General features: G+C 39.7%; 1 long non-coding RNA gene across 6 annotated transcripts in view; it reads left to right on the top strand.

Moving 5' to 3' along the window:
- LINC02840 (long intergenic non-protein coding RNA 2840) overlaps positions 1–18,513 on the top strand; it is a 121,122-nt gene that overhangs the window by 97,568 nt on the left and 5,041 nt on the right. For 3 of the 6 annotated variants that reach the window (NR_183508.1, NR_183507.1, NR_183510.1), the window contains 2 exons: positions 12,368–12,442; positions 18,346–18,450. This is a non-coding gene — a long non-coding RNA (long intergenic non-protein coding RNA 2840). The remainder of the gene's footprint in view (positions 1–12,367; positions 12,443–18,345; positions 18,451–18,513) is intronic. The other 3 variants (NR_183504.1, NR_183505.1, NR_183509.1) reach the window with 1 other exon arrangement.

Genomic DNA, 18,513 nt, shown 5'->3' with positions numbered 1-18,513 from the left:
CATTTGTGAAATTATGTTTGTCTTAGTCAGCTCAGGCTGCCAGAACGAAACACCATAGACAGTGTGGCTTAAACAATAGAAATTTATTTTCTTGCTATTCTGGAGTCTAGAAGTCCCAGATCCTGAAGCCAGCATGGTTGGTTTCTGGTAGGGGCTCCTCCCTGTCTTCTAGAAGGCAGTCTTTTTAATGTGTCTTCACGTGGCAGGAAGAGAGAGAGCTCAAGTTCTCTGGTGTCATTTCTTATGGGGGCCCAGCCCATCATGAGGACCCCACCCTCATGACTTGATCTAACCCTCATTACTTCCCAGAAGCCCCATTTCCAAATACTGTCACAATGGGCTCCAACATATGACATTTAAGAGGACACATTCAGTCCACAGCAATGCTAAACAACTTATAAAGTTTCCTTAATAATTGTAAAGTAATTTACTCTTTCTATTCTTACTCAGATATATTTTTCATTGTGCCTATAATTTCAAATTTTTTGGCATAAAAGATGATCTCCTTAGTTTATTATTACATTTTAATCTCTTCTCCATGTGCAATTAGTTCCTCATTCTCATGCTTAATATTTTGGTGTATACCTTTGCACCTTCTTTGTACTTTTCTGGATTAATTTTGCCAAAGTTCTTTTTTCAACTTCATTAATATTTTCAAAGAGCTAAAAGAGGTTGGTAGATCTTTTCTATAATTTCCTTATTTTCTACTTTATTGATTTCTGCTGTTGTCTTTATTTTGTCTAACATAGGTAAAGATAAGACATTATGATGTAATTTTTTATTTTTTTTGAGACGGAGTCACTCTGTTGCCAGGCTGGAGTGCAGTGGTGCGATCTCAGCTTGCTGCAACCTTTGCTTCCCAGGTTCAAGCGATTCTCCTGCCTCAGCCTCCTGAGTAGCTGGGACTGCAGGCATGCGCCTCCACGCCCGGCTAATTTTTGTATTTTTAGTAGAGACGGGGTTTCATCATGTTAGCCAGGATGGTCTGGATCTCTTGACGTCGTGATCCTCCCGCCTCCGCCTTCCAAAGTGCTGAGATTACAGGTGTGAGCCACCACGCCTGGCCATAAAATTTTTAAATAATTTTTATTTCATACTTTCACACTAATTTAAAAGAGGATAAAAAGATTACGAGTCTCTTATGGGTGTACACCTGTACCAGTTGTCAGTTTATTGTCTCTCAGCCACAAAACCAGTGTTCATTGCCCTGCTGAGGATACTGGAGCTGGAGTTACTAAATATTCTTCCTTTGCCGTTAGAGGGTCTGGAAGGGATGCTGCAGGAAGAAGATTCTTCCCGTAAAGTGCCTGCTTTTTTTGTTGTTGTTTTTGTTCCTACAGTGCAAGGCTAGGCTGTGGGACACCCAGTGGAACTCACCACCAGCTGGTTTCAATGACGTCCCCATGGGTACTTCCCAGCATCTCCTGTGGGTGATTTCCCAGTAAGTCCTACAGTGACCCAAGCCTACTTCCTAGAGAATTTCACCTCCCTCCAAATTCTTCATAAATGTCATAGGCACTGCAGCAGGGGGTTTTCTGCCCACCAGCACCCCAGTGGGAGCTTTCCAGCTTCCCAGTCCCAGTCCTTGGCCTCCACCTGCTGTAATGGAGCAGCTCAGGCCTGGGGCAACTCGGCTAACTTCAGCCTCCACTGGGTTTTAACTTCATCTTCTCCATTGAGATCTGAATCCCATCCTTAGAGAGGGGCCCTCTTCCAAGTTTTTGTCTCCCTTTGCATTAGGGACTTTGTACAGCTCTCTTTTATCCCCTTTTTAGTAGTTAATCCCCTACAAATAGTCAATAATTTTTTTTTTGCATGAAACCTCCCTGTTCAAATTATTTTGTTGTTTCTGTTTTCTGAGTGGACCTTGACTGACACAACACCCCCACAAATATATATATATATATATATATATATACACACACACACACATACACACACAAGAATATTTATAGCATCACCAGTTAATAGACAAAAATGGAAAGCTACTGAAATATTTATTAATAATTGGTAAATTAAATTAATTATAGTGTATTTATACAGTATATATTTGATTTCTGTTGCTGTATAACAAATTACCTCAAACTAAGTCACATTTATTTATTTTTTATTTTTATTTTAAGTTCTGGGGCACATGTGTAGGATGTGCAGGTTTGTTACATAGGTGAACGTGTGCCATGGTGGTTTGCTGCACCTATCAACCCATCACCTAAGTATTAAGCCCTGCATACATTAGCTATTTTTCCTAATAGTTTCCCTCCTCCCACTGCACCCCCTGATAGGCCCCAGTGTGTGTTGTTCCGCACTCCTATGTCCATGTGTTCTCGTTGTTCAGCTCCCACTTGTAAGTGAGAACATGCAGTGTTTAGTTTTCTGTTCCTGCGTTAGTTTGCTAAGGACAATGGCTTCAAGCTCCATCCATGGCCCTACAAAGGACATGATCTCATTTCTTTTATGGCTGCATAGTATTCTGTGGTGTAAATGTACCACATTTTCTTTATCCAGTCTCTCATTCATGGGCATTTGGGTTGATTCCATGTCTTTGCTATTGTGAATAGTAAAACAACACACAGTTATTATCCATAGTTTCCATGGGTCTGGAGTCTTAGCACAACTTAACTGGTTCCTCTGCTCAGGTGCTGGCCAGGCTGTGCTGTCATCTGAGGGCTCTATTAGGGAAGAATCTGCATCTAAGTGCATTCAGGCTGTTGGCAAAATTCCCTTCCTTGTGGCTGTGTGACTGAGGGCTCTGGCTTCTTACTGGCAGCCTGCAGTTCCCTGCCACATGGCCTTCTCCTTGGGGAATTTACAGCAGAGCTGGTGGCTTCTTCAAGGCCAGCAGGATGGGAATGACACTTTATCTTCTTTGACATATCCTGTTGGTTAGAGACAGGTCACAGGTCTTTCCTCACTTGAGGGAAGGGGCCATGGCTCATTGTGGGCCTTCAGGGTGTGTCTGCCACAGACTAGAATTCTTTATTGCAATGGGAATTAACATGGATAAATTAAAACAATGCTGAGTCAAAGAAGCTGGACACAAAAGAGCATTTACTGTGGAATTCCATTTATGTCACGTTCAAAATCAGGCAAACTGATCTATATTGTTAGAAATTAGTGCAGTGGTTACCCTTGGGGATGTGTATTACTTGAAATGGGGCAAGTAGGGTGCTGATAATGGCCTCTTTCTTGATCTAGATGCTGTTATTTGGGCATATTCACTTTGTGAAAGTTCATGGAGTGGTACATTTATGATTTATGAGGAAACAAAGTATCTAGTCTTCTTCCTCTGTCCTTTAAATGCTGGTGTTACCAATTCACAGCATTAAACTTCTTCTTTCACTAGCTGGATCTTCCTGTAATACCTCATCAGTTTTCATAGCATTAACTCTTTCCTATAAGCATATGAATCCAACATTTATAACTTCAGCTAAGTTATCTCTTCTGAGCTACTAGATATCTCCACGTGGAGACCCTATACACCTCAATTTCAAATTTCAATTTCTTCATCACTTGAAGCCATTATCTTTCTCCCCAAACCCTTCTCATCCTATGTTTGCTATTGGTACCACCATCCTGACCCACCAATGGCCAGAAATCTATGGTTTATGTAGCCTAGTAGACAAAGGCAAGAGCTGGGGAGTTAGCTCGTCTGATTACAAATTCTCTTGCATACAATGTGTTTTTAGAATTGTTACTTAATTTCGGTACTCTTCTATTTTCTTTTTCATTAAACTGGGTTGGTAATATTACCTACTTCTAGGATTTTTACAATTACATACAAAGTATATGTAAAGCAATGTTCCTGGTGCATGGTAATTATTCAGTACATGATATTTCTTATTAAGAAATTTGTCCCTGTCTCCTTCCCTCACCCCACATTCTTTTAATCATCAAGTGGTGTCGACTTTACCACTTTAATATCTTTTTTTTTTTTTTTTTTGAGATGGAGTCTCGCTCTGTCTCCCAGGCTGGAGTGCATTGGCGCTATATCCGCTCACTGCAACCTCCACCTCCTGGGTTCAAGCAATTCTCCTGCCTCAGCCTCCCGAGTAGCTGGGTCTACAGGCACGTGCCACCACACCCAGCTAATTTTTGTATTTTTAGTAGAGACGGCGTTTCATCATGTTGGCCAGGCTAGTCTTGAACTCCTGACCTCAGGTGATCTGCCTGCTTTGGCCTCAAAAGTGCTGAGATTACAGGCGTGAGCCACCATGCCCGGCCACCACTTTAATATCTCTAAATATCTGTCTTTTATTTATTTCCACTGTCACTGCCTTCATTCGAGTTTTCATCTTTTCTTATATTTTTATTTATTTATTTATTTTTGAGAATGAGTCTCGCTCTGTTGCCCAGGCTGGAGTGCAGTGGCGCCATCTCAGCTCACGGCAAGCTCCACCTCCTGGGTTCACACCATTCTCCTGCCTCAGCCTTCTGAGTAACTGGGACTACAGGTGTCTGCCACCACCCCTGGCTAGTTTTTTTTGTATTTTAGTAGAGACGGGATTTCACTGTGTTAGCCAGGATGGTCTTGATCTCCTGACCTCATGATATGCCCGCCTCGGCCACCCAAAGTGCTGGGATTACAGGCATGAGCCACCACGCCTGGCTTTATATTTTTATTTTTGTAATAATTTCTCAGTAGGTCTAATGTACAACACTGCACCTGACACATTTTCAAAACCAGTTACCTATACTTCTTTCAAGGTGATCTAGTTTAAATTATCAAAAGATCCTCTCACCACCTTCAAACAGCCCTAGAAACCTATGGACTCTGTCAATTAAAATAGTAACTACCATCCTAGGTGGAGGTGTGTGGGACTATATACCACAGCTGTGCAAAAGTTATTTACCAATTGCCTCCACTTCTGAGACTATAATAGAGTTCAGTGCCAAATGCTGTAAAATCTACAACAAGTTAAAGATAGCTTCAGGATACGTAAGGATTTCCTCGAGAGCAAAAGAGGTTATTAATCAGCTAGGTGGTCACCTCTGGCAATAGAATGATACGTAAGTCAAGTATCACCGGCCAAGCGGCTCTTTCCTTTGAAGCTGTTTATTTCTCCACAGCAGTCAAAGAGTGACCACAGGCATCTCTGCACTCACCCTTTTAGTGTCTGATTTTCACAATGTGTAGTTCTCCTGCAAGTTGTGTTTGAACTGACATTTTACGTTATCTTATCCTGGAGAAGGGAACAAGTACTATTATCATTGTATTTCTTTGTTCTTTTGTTTGTGTTTTGTTCCTTCGGTGTCTGGAGTACCAGTGGCTCTTTTATAAAGTCACTGAAACTCCAGTGAGGGCTTGGTGAGTGGTAAAGCCAATTTTCAGGAATCTGTTCATGTCTCCTCTCATATCACGTCTTGTGGTGCCTCTAATTTTGTCTCACCCTTCCATTTAGACATTTTCTTTCTCCACGAAAACCCCTGACATGCTCTTTTGTTGGGGCTGCTACCTAAAAGCTAAGTCCCAGCTCCAGCACCTACTCCTGCAATTATAAGACTATATTGATGATGGGATAAAGTGAATGGTGCTTTGTTTTTTGAAGAAACTGACAAACTCATTCTAAAATGAATATGGAATGCCAAAGACCTAGACTGACCAAAACATTATTGAAAAAGAAGGCAATGGTGGAAGACCCCTGCTACATTATTTCAAGACTTATGATAAAGCTACAGTAGTCAAAGCACTGTGGCACTGGGATTAGTATAGATAACTAAATAAAGAGAAGAGAACACACAGCCATAAAGAGACCCACACATATACTGTCCATTGATATTTTTTAAATCAAGAAGCCAAGTCAGTTAAATGAGCAAAAGAATTTTTTTTTTTTTTTGAGATGGAGTCTCACTCTGTCGCCCAGGCTGGAGTGCGGAGTGCAGAGTGCAATGGTACGACCTCGGCTCAATGCAACCTCCGCTTCCCAGGTTCAAGCAATTATCCTGCCTCAGCCTCCCGAGTAGCAGGGATTACAGGTGTGTGCCACCATGCCCAGCTAATTTTTATATTTTTAGTGGAGATGGGGTTTCACCATGTTGGCCAGGCTGGTCTCGAACTCCTGACCTCAAGTGATCCTCCTGCCTCGGCCTCCCAAAGTGAGGGGATTACAGGTGTGAGCCACCATGCCAGGCTAAGAAAAATATTTTTAACAAATATTAAGGCAACAGGATGTTCAATGGGAAAAAGCCTCAACTGCTACTACTTAACTCCATTTCTAAACACTAATTTGAGATCATAAATTTAACCATAAATGTAGAACCATAAAACTTCTACATGCAAACACACTCCACAACCTTGGGACAGGTGAAGATTTCTTAGGAAAAAAAACACAACAAAAACTAACCATAGAATAGAAAATTAATAAACTGAAGTTGTCAAAATGGAAGTATCTCTTCATCAAAAGACAATATTAATATTTTCTAACTTCTAACACTTATATCTTAAATTCATACCGTGGCCTTTCCATTGGGAGCTGCCTTAAACTTCATTGAGATAAAATCCTATGTTATAAATTTCTATATTTATATGTCTGAATTCCCCCATCATAGTATCTCCTGTTTCTTTCATTTAATCTGATTTTTCAACCAGATCTTCCTCTTTCAAGCTGCTCATTACTCTTGAAAGTATAATCCTAATTTGCTGTATCCTTATTCTTAGTAATGTCAGTTTATAATAGAATTCAGGAGTTATAAACTAACACCTAGACCTAAATTTGGCCCAAATACTTGGATTGTTTGGTCAAAATATACTTTAAAAAAATTATATGGCTTTATATAGGAGATTTCCTCTCCAACAGATCAAAACTTCTACCAGTCTTATGATAGAACAGTGTGCAGATTCTCTCGCATGTGTTTTAATGACCTGACTCTTGAAATCATTTGGGTTTGACACCCTCAATGCTGGAGGTCTGGCTAGTGGTTTCCTTCAGACACTAGTGGTCTAGTAAGAGGTAAACCGGAAAGAATAAATCTGTCTCTGCATAGGCTGAGGTTAAAAGGGCCCTCCAGCTGAGGGAGGACTCTGGAGGTTCATAAGCTTTCCTCAGGGCATGAGAATCTGAGAGAGCTGGTCAGTCCTCTTGTATATGGGAAGGTAACGATTCCATTCAAGTTGCTGAGGGCACTTAGGAGGCAGTAAGACTGACTTACCCAGCTCAGGGCACAGTGAGAGAGCTGGCTAGGTGAGCTGTGATCTCCACAACACCGCATTCCAAAGCCAGCCCTTCACCACTCCCACCTCTCCTAGGCTATAGAGACCCAGCAATTCAGTTGTAGCTTGTAGACTACATCCCCCCTCTAGACAAGAAATATGGGAAATATTGTATGTAATTCTACATTCTCGAGTAGCCTCAGAGAGTAATAGAGACAGGCAAGGGGCTTACAGTAGCTGTGGAGATCCAATTATTGACACGATTTTCCCAACTCCTTTATATTTTCTAATCTCCTCTCTTAATGAACTACTTTTTGAAGGAAGGCTGTCATAATCATCTGAAAAGATAAACTAAGAAACAGTTTCAACAGTAGCAGTATCCATAGAAGTGCAACTCTAAATTCTGGTGGCTATCTGGACCAGTTAACGAAGTTAAGTAATTCTTACATTATTTTATTGGAATAGGGAATTTGGAATTTGATGAGGTTTTAATACACTAAGCTGATGAGAACACTGGGTTTTGCCTGCAGCAAAGCATATTTAAAAAATAGTTTTAACATCTTATTTTCCACATACTTTCCACAACATTTCTTTCTTTTAATTTTTGTCCTACTAATAATTTAAGAATTGAAATGGGTTTATTAAAATGAGAGGGAGCAGGATGAATTCACATTGAGTAATCCAAATTCCAAAACAATTTTCTGTGCTCTGAATCATGGTTACAATTTGTGATCGGATTCCTTTTTAACTGAGCTGAATTATAAATTTAACACGTGGACTTACTGATTTTTTTTTTCCTCAAATCTTATTCTGTGATTTCCTTGCAAGCATCTTTGGGATTACACATGAAAAATAGCTAAAGAAATATGGGCACTGTAAGCATGGAACAGAGACCTATTGTGTGAACTCCTGTGGCTATGTTTTAGGAAAAAATAAACACCAAGGGTCCATATGCACTGTGCTTTAGTGAATATTGACCCTTCCTGGAACTAGGAAGAGCTATTTCTGTCTCTGAGTTGGTCTGTGGGTCAGATTGGTAAGCAATTGACCTTTGCAGTTTGGCGCTTGAGCAGAAATGAACTGTTGACCAAGGTTGAGGCAGGCTCTTGAGGCCATTCAACCCCCTTCAAAGCAGAGATGCTGGCCCTGTACTGGCAAATGGACCAAAGGAAAGAAAGGTCACTGAACCAAGTGAGACCAAAGGCAAACCCTGACTTGGGCAGCTCCTGGGCTGCAGAGGGCCCTCGGGACAGAGTCCTGATGCAAACCAGCTACTGCTTTAATACCCTGAGTGTTTGATTCCTGGAAAAGTGAATCCTGCTTCTCAGCCGGTCTGGGACTGTAGATGTACCATGCAGTTTTTAAACACTCAATTCAATGTCCTGAAGCTGAATCATTTTTGTATCTTCCAGGCAGTGAGGCTGATATCCTTGTGACTCCTTAATTCTGGGGGGAAGGTGAGCCTCTGTTCTGTCTTGTAGCAACTCACCACCCATATCAGGCAACAATAATGTAGGTATGAAAATTGCATCAACCTATGACTTGCATGTCAACGTATGTGTGGGCACTTCGATTGCTCTGGTGTGAACCTCACCAGATTCTGTAACAGACTTGGGCTCTCAGTTCTATTCTGATGCTTCATTTTTATAGTTACAGACAGAGGCTTCATTTGCAAACCTGAGAATGAGTTCCTGGGTTCCCATGAGACTGCATAGTGACATTAGAAGTTATCAAAAAGGGAGGAATCTAAACCTTCATCTTCATGCTCCAAAGCCATTGAGTCACATGGGGTGGCCGTCTCCCAGTTCTAGGAAAACCAGAGAATATTTGCATGTATTCTTTATTCATCACCCGTCCTTTTAGAGTCATGTTTTCTTTCTGATAATACGGACTGTTAAGGAGAGTCACTAATTAGCAATTTTTCTTATCACAAATACATGATGACTAATGACATTAATATTCTAGTTTATTCAAGCTAATGGTGGACGGAAGTTGTTGGCTACGTACATAGAGAGTGACTGTTGAGAAATAGCCTCTCCTTTTTAGCCCCTGCTGTTAATGCCCCATTGAGAGTCACGGGACAAAGAAAAATGATATTTATACTTTGTCGTTTGTTCCAATACATCTTGCATCATCAATACTTATTTAGTACTTCCCAAAAGGAAGTGTGAACCTTGGTAGCTTGAATTACCTTTCCACCTGCAACATCACTAAATTAGTATAATCCATACAACATCACTTCACTACAAATTATTTCCATTATTATTTAGTTTCCAAACATTTTCCAATTAGAAACAAATTAGTAGTTATGTCCCACAATTTAGTAAATTGTATTCAATTTGGGAAGTAAAATATTTATATTTTATTTGTAAAAATCATTATATACTTTCATCATAATGTTTTAAAATATTGTCATTATAACCACTACATATAACCCAACTTCTAATATCATCTTTTATTTATTTACAGTTTTCCTTTACTTTTCAGGTATATTCTCAGCCCAGGCTCTCCTATAAGCAGCTGCTCAACAAGAGCTAAGATCTTTTTTCTTTTTTTTTTCTTTTTTCTTTTTTTTGAGAGGGAGTCTTGCTTTGTCGCCCAGGCTGGAGTGCAGTGGCACAATCTCGGCTCACTGTAAGCTCCTCCCCCCGGGTTCACACTATTCTCCTGCCTCAGCCTCCTGAGTAGCTGGGACTACAGGCACCCGCCACCACGCCCGGCTAATTTTTTTATTTTTAGTAGAGACGGGTTTTCACTGTGATAGCCAGGATGGTCTCAATCTCCTGACCTCATGATCCGCCCGCCTCGGCTTCCCAAAGTGCTGGGATTACAGGCATGAGCCACTGTGCCCGGCCAGATCTTTTTTTTAAAACCAAGATTCACTTCTTTTTCTTTTTTATTTCTTTTTGTTTGTTTTTATATTTATTTATTTTTAAAATTTCAATAGTTTTTGGGAAATTTAATTTAATTTTGGTGGGTTTTGGTTACATGGATAAGTTCCTCAGTGGTGACTTCTGAGATTGTGATGCACCTCTCACCTGAGCCGTGTGCACTGTACCCCGTGTGTAGCCTTTTATCCCTCATGCCCTCCCACCCTTTCCCGAGTCCCCAAAGTCCATTATATCATTCTCATGCGTTTGAGTCCTCATGAGACCTAAGATCTTAAAATGGGAATTTTCACAGTTCTCTTCCATTAGTCTTATCTTCACTACCTACACACAATTTCAGATTTACCCTTCTATGATAAGCTCTCTTTTTTGGCATATGCCTGTTGCTCCAAATCCTTATTTCATTAATGTCTACCCAAATTTATAAGGGTATAGCCAACATTTCTTTATAAGAATCAAGGTAAGGGGAAATGTCTTTGAAGAAAAATTAGGAATAATGGCATAGTAATTTCCTTAGACATCAACTACAAACTTACAGATAATGGCAACTGCTAGCTCAAAGATTCTATGTTTTTAAAGCAGAAAGGTAAATGAAATGTAAATTGAGAAAGATACTTTAACAAGTGTCATGCATCTGTCTAAGATCCCATGCAAAGAAAAGTTAAGAGACAAAAGGAAATCTGGAGAGATCTAGATCCATTTTCTGTCTCTGGAACAGATGAGGTTAACATGTAGATAGGGCATGAGGCAGAATAAGACACCCGAGAGAATGAACCCGTAACTCTGTAGAGAACAGAACAGCAAAGGGGGAAGAAGCAAAATTATGAAACGAGGGCGAGTTTCCAAGGAACAAGAAAAGAAAGAGCACAATTGTGTGGGGGAAAAATGAGACAAGTTAAAGTCTGAAAAGAGATGCATCTTGCCAGAGATTTGCAATTACATAAGGCAAAAGAGAAGGACCAAGGAAATGTTTTCTCTCTAATAGGGAGAAAAAGCTGTTAACAGAGGTTTGTGAAAAGGCAGATGCTTTTCATGTATCCTTTCCCTCTTTCTCCTTTCCAAAAACTGCAGCTGTTATCAGTTAACCAGCTAGGAGACCATTTGAGTGTGGAACACCAAACAAGAATAGGGAAATAAGTAATTAGAGTATATTTTTCTAAAATCTAGATCTACTGAAATGTGCAGCTCTAAGGGTCTTAGGAACTCATAGACACGATTATAGAACTCTTAGTATCTATCTTTGAGATATCCTGTAAGATAGTTTCTGCTTCTGAAGCCCAAAACCAGAGTGTGTATGTGTACATGTGTGTGTATGTGTGTATGTGTTAGTATTAATATTAATACAGAATACAGTAGTATTCATAGTCATATATATTATATCTGCTACATAAAAACGTATAGAAGAAAAGGTGTAACTTTGATTACTAAAATGGATAGATTCACCTTAATCCTTTCAGATGTGTTAGAAAACTAAGTATTTAGAATTTACTTTCCCAGATATTGAAAATATAATCACATTTAAGATGTCTAGAAACATTTTGGTTATCTTAAGTGATTATTAAAGAAAATTTGGTGTCCTTCACCAAAGAACGTAGTTTCCAACTTACAAATTCAACACCTGAAACAGTTAATATAGTATGCAACATGCATTCATTCATGAATAAAATAAGCGTGCATCCAGATCTCACATGAAGTACAATCTAGGGAAGGTAACATTACATTTCTGATATTTCTTTATTTTCTCCCCTCTCTTCTCCATTCTCTTTTTCTGAAACTTCTATTTATCAAATCCAAGACCTCTATTGATTTTCTATGACTTAATCTCTACTTTATCTCTAATACTTTAAGAATTTGTTTCATTTTGACATACTTTTAAATTAAATTTTATTTTAATTTAGGCAGTTTTTAAACTCCATGAGCTTTTTTTCTCTGTTCCTGAATGTCATGGTTAATATTGAACGTCAACTTGATTGGACTGAAGGATGCAAAGCATTGTTCCTGCGTATGTCTGTGAGGGTGTTGCCAAAGGAGATTAACATTTGAGTCAGTGGACTGGGAGAGGCAGACCCACCCTTAATCTGGGTGGGCACCATCTAATCAGCTGCCAGCGTGGCTAGCATAAAAGCAGGCAGAGGAATGTGGAAGGACAAGACTGGCTGAGTCTTCTGGCCTTCATCTTTCTCCTACTGCTGGGTGCTTCCCGCCCTTGAACATCAGACTTCAAGTTCTTCAGCATTTGGAGTTTTTTGGACTTACACCAGTGGCTTGCGAGGGGCTCTTGGGCCTTTGGCCACAGACTAAATGTTGTATTGTTGGCTTCCCTACTTTTGAGGTTTGGAGATGCGGACTGGCTTCCTTGTTCCTCAGCTTGCAGATGGCCTACTGTGCGATTTCACCTGGTGATCATGTGAGTCAATACTCCTTAATAAACTCCCTTTCATATATACATCTATCCTGTTAGTCCTCTCCTTCTAGAGAACCTTGACTAATACACTGCATCAGGTTCTTGCTTTATACGTGCAATATTATTCATTCTCGGTTAGACTTTATCTTTTATTATCTAGCATCTCTTTTCACTACATATTCTTTAAGTTTTCTTCAAATGCCAGGACATCTTTGGTTGTTCAGTCATAGACACCATTTATGATAGCCCCTTCCACCATTAATTTAAAATCTCTTGGGTAAAATGGAAAGGGAAAGGAAGGGAAGGGAAAGGGAAAGGGAAGGGGAAGGGGAAGGAGAGGGGAAGGAGAGGGGAGGGGAAGGGAGGTCAGGGGAGGGGAGGTTAGGGGAGGGGAGGGAAGGGGAGGGGGAGCTAGAAAGTCTGACTACGACATGTGGGATTTCTCCATGTGGATGAAGTTATTTAAAGGCAGGTTTCTTTTTAGGCTGAGCAGGTGTAGGAAGCCCGATGCAACCAGGGTGACCCCACATAGACAAAGGCTTAACTCTGGGTTCGACTCTCACAATTGTCATCCTAGTTCTCCCATGGCAGCTACTCCCTCTGCCCCAACCCCATTTCTTTAGAGAATAACTCTGTAATTATTTTTCTTCTGATCATCCAGGAATTTCAGCATTCTGTAGCAGGAATGGGAGATCAATAATCTTGTATGTAAGCCTTCAGTGTATGCCCCTATATTCAGGCCCTTCCATAAGCTTGCCCTCAGTTATAGTGTTTCCAAATTCCTGACAAATATTAATCTTTGGTATTCAGGAAAGGTCAATCAGAATTGGCAGGAATTCTTAGGAATTTCCAAACTTATAAGTAGTTTTGCATTTTTCATAACACATTATTTATATGTTTTAAAATAATAAAAATAATCAAACTGCAACCATGAAAATTTTTCTGTGATGGGATCACACTAAATGTTTCAGAGATTTTCTGTAACAAAAACAGCATGATAAATACATGGCTTGTTATTATATACTCATATATTGTGATGAAATATCTTTCAATAACATGTGAAAATAATTTCTTCCTGATAAAGACGTTTGATAATAAAAAACATCAAAAAAAGGCAACTCCACCAATCAGCGTTTCCTGCTCTTACTTTTGACTTGACATCAATAGTGTCATGGGCTGAATTGGGTCCCCCTAAATTTTATATGTTAAAGTCCTAACCCTACAAAATGTGACCACAGAATGTGGATGTATTTGGAGATAGGGTCTTTAAAGAAATAATTAAATTAAAATGAGGTCTTTAGGGTGAGCACACTAATTCAGTATGACTAATGTCCTTATAAGAAGAGGAAATTTGAGAACAGATGTACATGGAGGGGGGACTATGTGAAGACACAGGCCCAGAAGAGAGGCCTCAGAAGAAACCAATCCTGCTGACACCTTGATCTCAGACTTCTAGCCTCCTTGTGAGAAAATAAATTTCTGTTGTTTAAGCTCCCCATTCAATGATTCTTTGTTATGGCAACCTTAGCGAATCAACACAAGAGGATGCCTCCAAATGAGTAGCGCTTTTACGTTGAATGTTAAGCTTTAATTCTTGCATTCCTGATTTTGCAACTGATTTCTTTTGGGATTCAGAACTTGTGAAAGTGTGTACATTCTCCCAGAAATATCAGGAAGAAATGTCTACTTGTATTTGTCAAATCTGAGCTTTTCCATAGGACAGTTAATCTGCTACAAACTGTCCACATTAGTTCAACATTGAAGTTGCCTTGTCAATTTCCTGGATCCGCTCTTCAATCCACCGCCCGTCTTTCCCCAGAAATGTACTGTAATCTCTTGACCATTTATGGCTCCCTTTTTCTTGTTTTGATGGCATGGGACAATATTTCTTTGGCAAGGAAAGGGAGACATGTTCATGAGCTCAATATACCATATTAAACCTGAGAAACTCCAGGAATATTATGTCTCTCCTTTTTTTTTTTTTTGGCAGATTTTGTGTGTATCTACTGAAAGGAAAGGAGAAGATAGAATGTTATTTTCAGATCTATAGAGAATGATTTCTAACATAATTTTAGAGGGCATTAATCTTAGTCTCACTTCAAACTCATGTATGCAGCAATATGGCTGAATTTTTATAACTGAAATTAATTTGTATCCTAAACAGCCCTTATGTTAAAAAAATACTGAAAAAATAATTTCAGTCAATTTTATAATCATCTTAATCAATTCAGGATTACCCTAGCAAATCTGGGTTTTGACACTTCCTCTCTTCCCGGAATTAAACTCATGTCCCAACAAGCATTTTATTTCAGTGGTTTGCTGATGCAGATTTCCCTAAAGCAGTGGGCGCTAGACTCAAATTCTATTCTTTCTCACTTCCACCAGTCTAAATCCAGATCTTTATTATCTCACCCCTGATAAATGTACTCTACATACCATTTTCCCAAGCTGTAGGGTGGTCTCCACATGACTCCAACCACTACATTATTCTGGAGTAAGGATCTTAAACAGCAGGTGCTGAGCACTGTGAAATTTCATGCATGGGCATGTAAGATTTGGTGAATGCTCTGAAAGTATTATATGTGTGTGTGTGTGTGTGTGTGTGTGTGTGTGTGTGTGTTTGCATGTGTGTGTATATACACATATGTATTTCTGGAAAAAGGTCCCTAGTTTTCATTAAGTTTTCAAAATAATAAAAAATAATCTTGGACTACTTAATTTGACCCATTTTTCTAAGTTACCTCAGTCATCACTGGACTCTAAGTATAAGAAACATATTTTCCTAGTTATTTACTCTCCCACTCATCCAGCAAACTCTTTCATATTTTTCTTTTACTTTCTTCACATCTCCTCACTTATCCTTACTCTCAGCTATTTCCCTGAGAAAACAGGTGTAATCAGAACTGGTGTAAACTTCCACCAGTTCTTCCATTCATCCACCTCGGACCCAACCACTCTGCCTGTTAGTGTGGTTGAAGAGAGCTTGTGCCAAGCAAAGGTCAATCCCTCTATTTTTGAATCACCCACTTCCTCTCTCTTCTCAAGGACATCACTCAAGTAAAACCCCACTTTACCTTCTGCATCACCAATTTTCCCTATCTTGCATCTCTCCCCTCAGCATGCAAACGTGCTTTTGATGTTTCTCTGACATAAAGCCAAATTGACACCTTCTGATATGGTTTGGCTGTGTCCCCACCAAATCTCATCTTGAATTGTAGCTCCCACAATGCCCGCGTGTTGTGGGAGGGACCCGGTGGGAGGTAATTGAATCATGGGGTGGGTCTTTCCCATGCTGTTCTTGTAATAGTGAATAAGTCTCATGAGATCTGGTGGTTTTATAAGGGAGAGTTTCCCTGCACAAGCTCTGTTTTTGCCTGCTGCCATCCTCGTAAGATATGACTTGCTCCTCCTTGCCTTCTGTCATGATTGTGAGGCCTCCCCAGCCATATGGAACTGTAAGTACATAATTTGTCTCCTTTGCATTTATCACTTTCTAAAACAATATATATTTTACTTGACTATATTTTACTTGACTATTTTATTATCTGTTTCAAATCAAAGAATGCAAGCTCCATGAGGGCAGGAATTTTGATCTGTATTATTCACTACTATATCATCAGAACTTAAAATGGTGCTGGGTAGATAGTAAGTTCCTTATAAATTCTTGCAGAAGAATTAAATAAATGAATTGTAATCTACCCTGCAGCAGGATTTGGCTCTGTTAATGATACCCTCTTCCTTGAAAGATCTTCTTCACTTGTTTTCCAGATGACATGGTCTCCAATTTTTCTCCTATTTCAATAGCTTCTTCTTCCAGTCCATTTTTATCCCATTTGTTTCTCAAAACTCCAAACTCTTAATGTTGGCATGCCCCAGGATTATTGGCTGAATTGTGTCCCCAAAAATTCATATGTGAAAGTCCTTAACCCTAGTCCTTCAGAATGTAGCCTTATTTTCAGATAGGGTTTCTACAGAGGAAATCAACTTAAAATGAGATTATTAGCATTGGCCCTAATCCAAAATGACTGATGTCCTTATGTAAAGTGAATATTTGGAGACATGCTACCTGAAGGTCATGGCAGAGATAGAAGTGATGCTTCTATCAGCCAAAGGTTGCCTGCAAACCACCTGAAACGAGAGGAGAGGCATGGATCAGATTCTTCCTCACAGCTCTCAGAAGGAGCCTGCCCTGTTGACACCTTGCTCTAGCGTTTTTTGTCTCCAGAACTGTGAGACAATTGATTTCTTTGTTTGAGACACCTGGTCTGCGGTGCCTTCTTATGGTGGCACTAGGAAATAAAAACACTCAAGGATTATGTGTTGAGGTTTCTGTTTTTGTTGTGTTTTGTTGTTTAGCAACACTTGGTCTCTTGCTGATCTCGTCCAGTCTTGTGTTTCTAAATCCCGTCTATATGCGAAATCTCCCACTTGCCCATCTGCAGCTCAGCATCTCCTCTTCATGACATCTCCAACTCCCTACTCAACATCTGCCTTAGTGCATCCAAACTAAGCTCACCTTTCCCTGAACCCTCGTTCCTCCCAGTCTTCTCTGTCTATAGCAATCCCATCCTTCAAGTTGCCTCAGGTGATTTACCTTGGATGTCATTCTTGACTTTCCTCCTTCTTGAACTCCTGGCCTCAAGCAATCCTCCTGCCTCAGCCTCCCAAAGTACTAGGATTACAGGCATGACCCACCATGCCCAGCCTCTCCTATTTCTTGTCTTCAACCCATTCTCAGAAAACCTGACTCTTCTTTCAAGATCTATTCAGATATACTTCTCAATACCTCCAGTGCTTCTGCCTTGGTGGCACCATCATCTGCCACTTGATTTATAGCACTTGCCCCCTAGTTTGTACCCCTGCTTCCACCCTTAGCACTCCTTCACTCTTCTCTCATTAGAGTATCCAGAAAGATCCTGTTAAAGTGCAGTTCAGATAATATCACACCTCTGTCCAAAACTCTGCCATACCTCATCTCACTTCACAAACAATTACAGTGGCCTGTGAGGCCCTACAAGGTCCAGTCCTTAGTAACTTCTTTGACCTCCTCTCCTACTGAGTCCCTGTCCAGCATACTCTGCTCCAGCCACATGGGCTTCCTTGCTCTCCAGATATGTCAGGACTGTTCCCTCATTTGCACTTGCTGTTCCCTCAGCCCAGAACAATCTCTCAGATAGCTACATAGCACATCATAGTCATTCAGTGAATATTTCTTCAATGAATTTCTTGAAGCAATAGGGAATAAATTGAAAAGATTCATATTAATAAAATAAAATTAAAACTCTTTAGTTACACACTCAAATTATGGCTCCATTTCATCTTTACAAGCTTTTTATGTACACTTAACACTTAGAAATTGTCTGTTTTCACTGCAGTGCTTCTCATAAAAATGTCACTTAATAAATATTTAATAATTTGAAGAATCAGATAAGAAAAAGAGATACAAGAAGCTCAATTTACTTCAACTTGTGAAAACTACTTTGCAATTACTGGTACTTCTAGACTAGTTCCTCCTGATGTGGCCATTTGTCCTAATTGTAGAAAATGAAACCAAGCAAAACTTTGCCTTATGGGGATAATGCTTCTTCATTAATGGTTAGGGTCTGACTCTCGCTCTCTTTATTATTTCTTTAAGCTTTTTGGGTGAGAATTTAAGATCCAAGCCTGGAATTATTTTTAATCGCTGCATACATTTATTCTTTCCTTGTTTTATATTAATAGAGTCTTAGTTTTAAGTTGGGTACATGATCACCCAGAAAAAGAAAAGAAAACATACTACATTTCCCAGCCTCTCTTGCAAATGACTGTGGCCATAAGACTATGTACTAGTAAAGGGGATGTTAGTATAAGATATCAGTTCAAAGAGAACTGGCATATAATATTTGCTCCCTTTTTTCTTCCTATAGCCTGCTGCCTGGAATGCATATGTGATGGCTGGAATGCTAGCTCTAATTTTGGATCATGAGGAAAAGTGCCACACCATTGGAGATGAGGGATGAGCTGGAAGGGGTGTAAGTTATTGAGGGTTTTGCTGAGCAGAACCATTATAATAACCCTGACATCTTACTTCTTGA

Source organism: Homo sapiens, chromosome 6 (assembly GCF_000001405.40).
Source record: "Homo sapiens chromosome 6, GRCh38.p14 Primary Assembly".
In the NCBI taxonomy this organism is placed as follows: domain Eukaryota; kingdom Metazoa; phylum Chordata; class Mammalia; order Primates; family Hominidae; genus Homo; species Homo sapiens.
The sequence above is the reverse complement of the archived record's forward strand: the minus strand, read 5'-3'. Positions and strand labels throughout refer to the sequence as shown.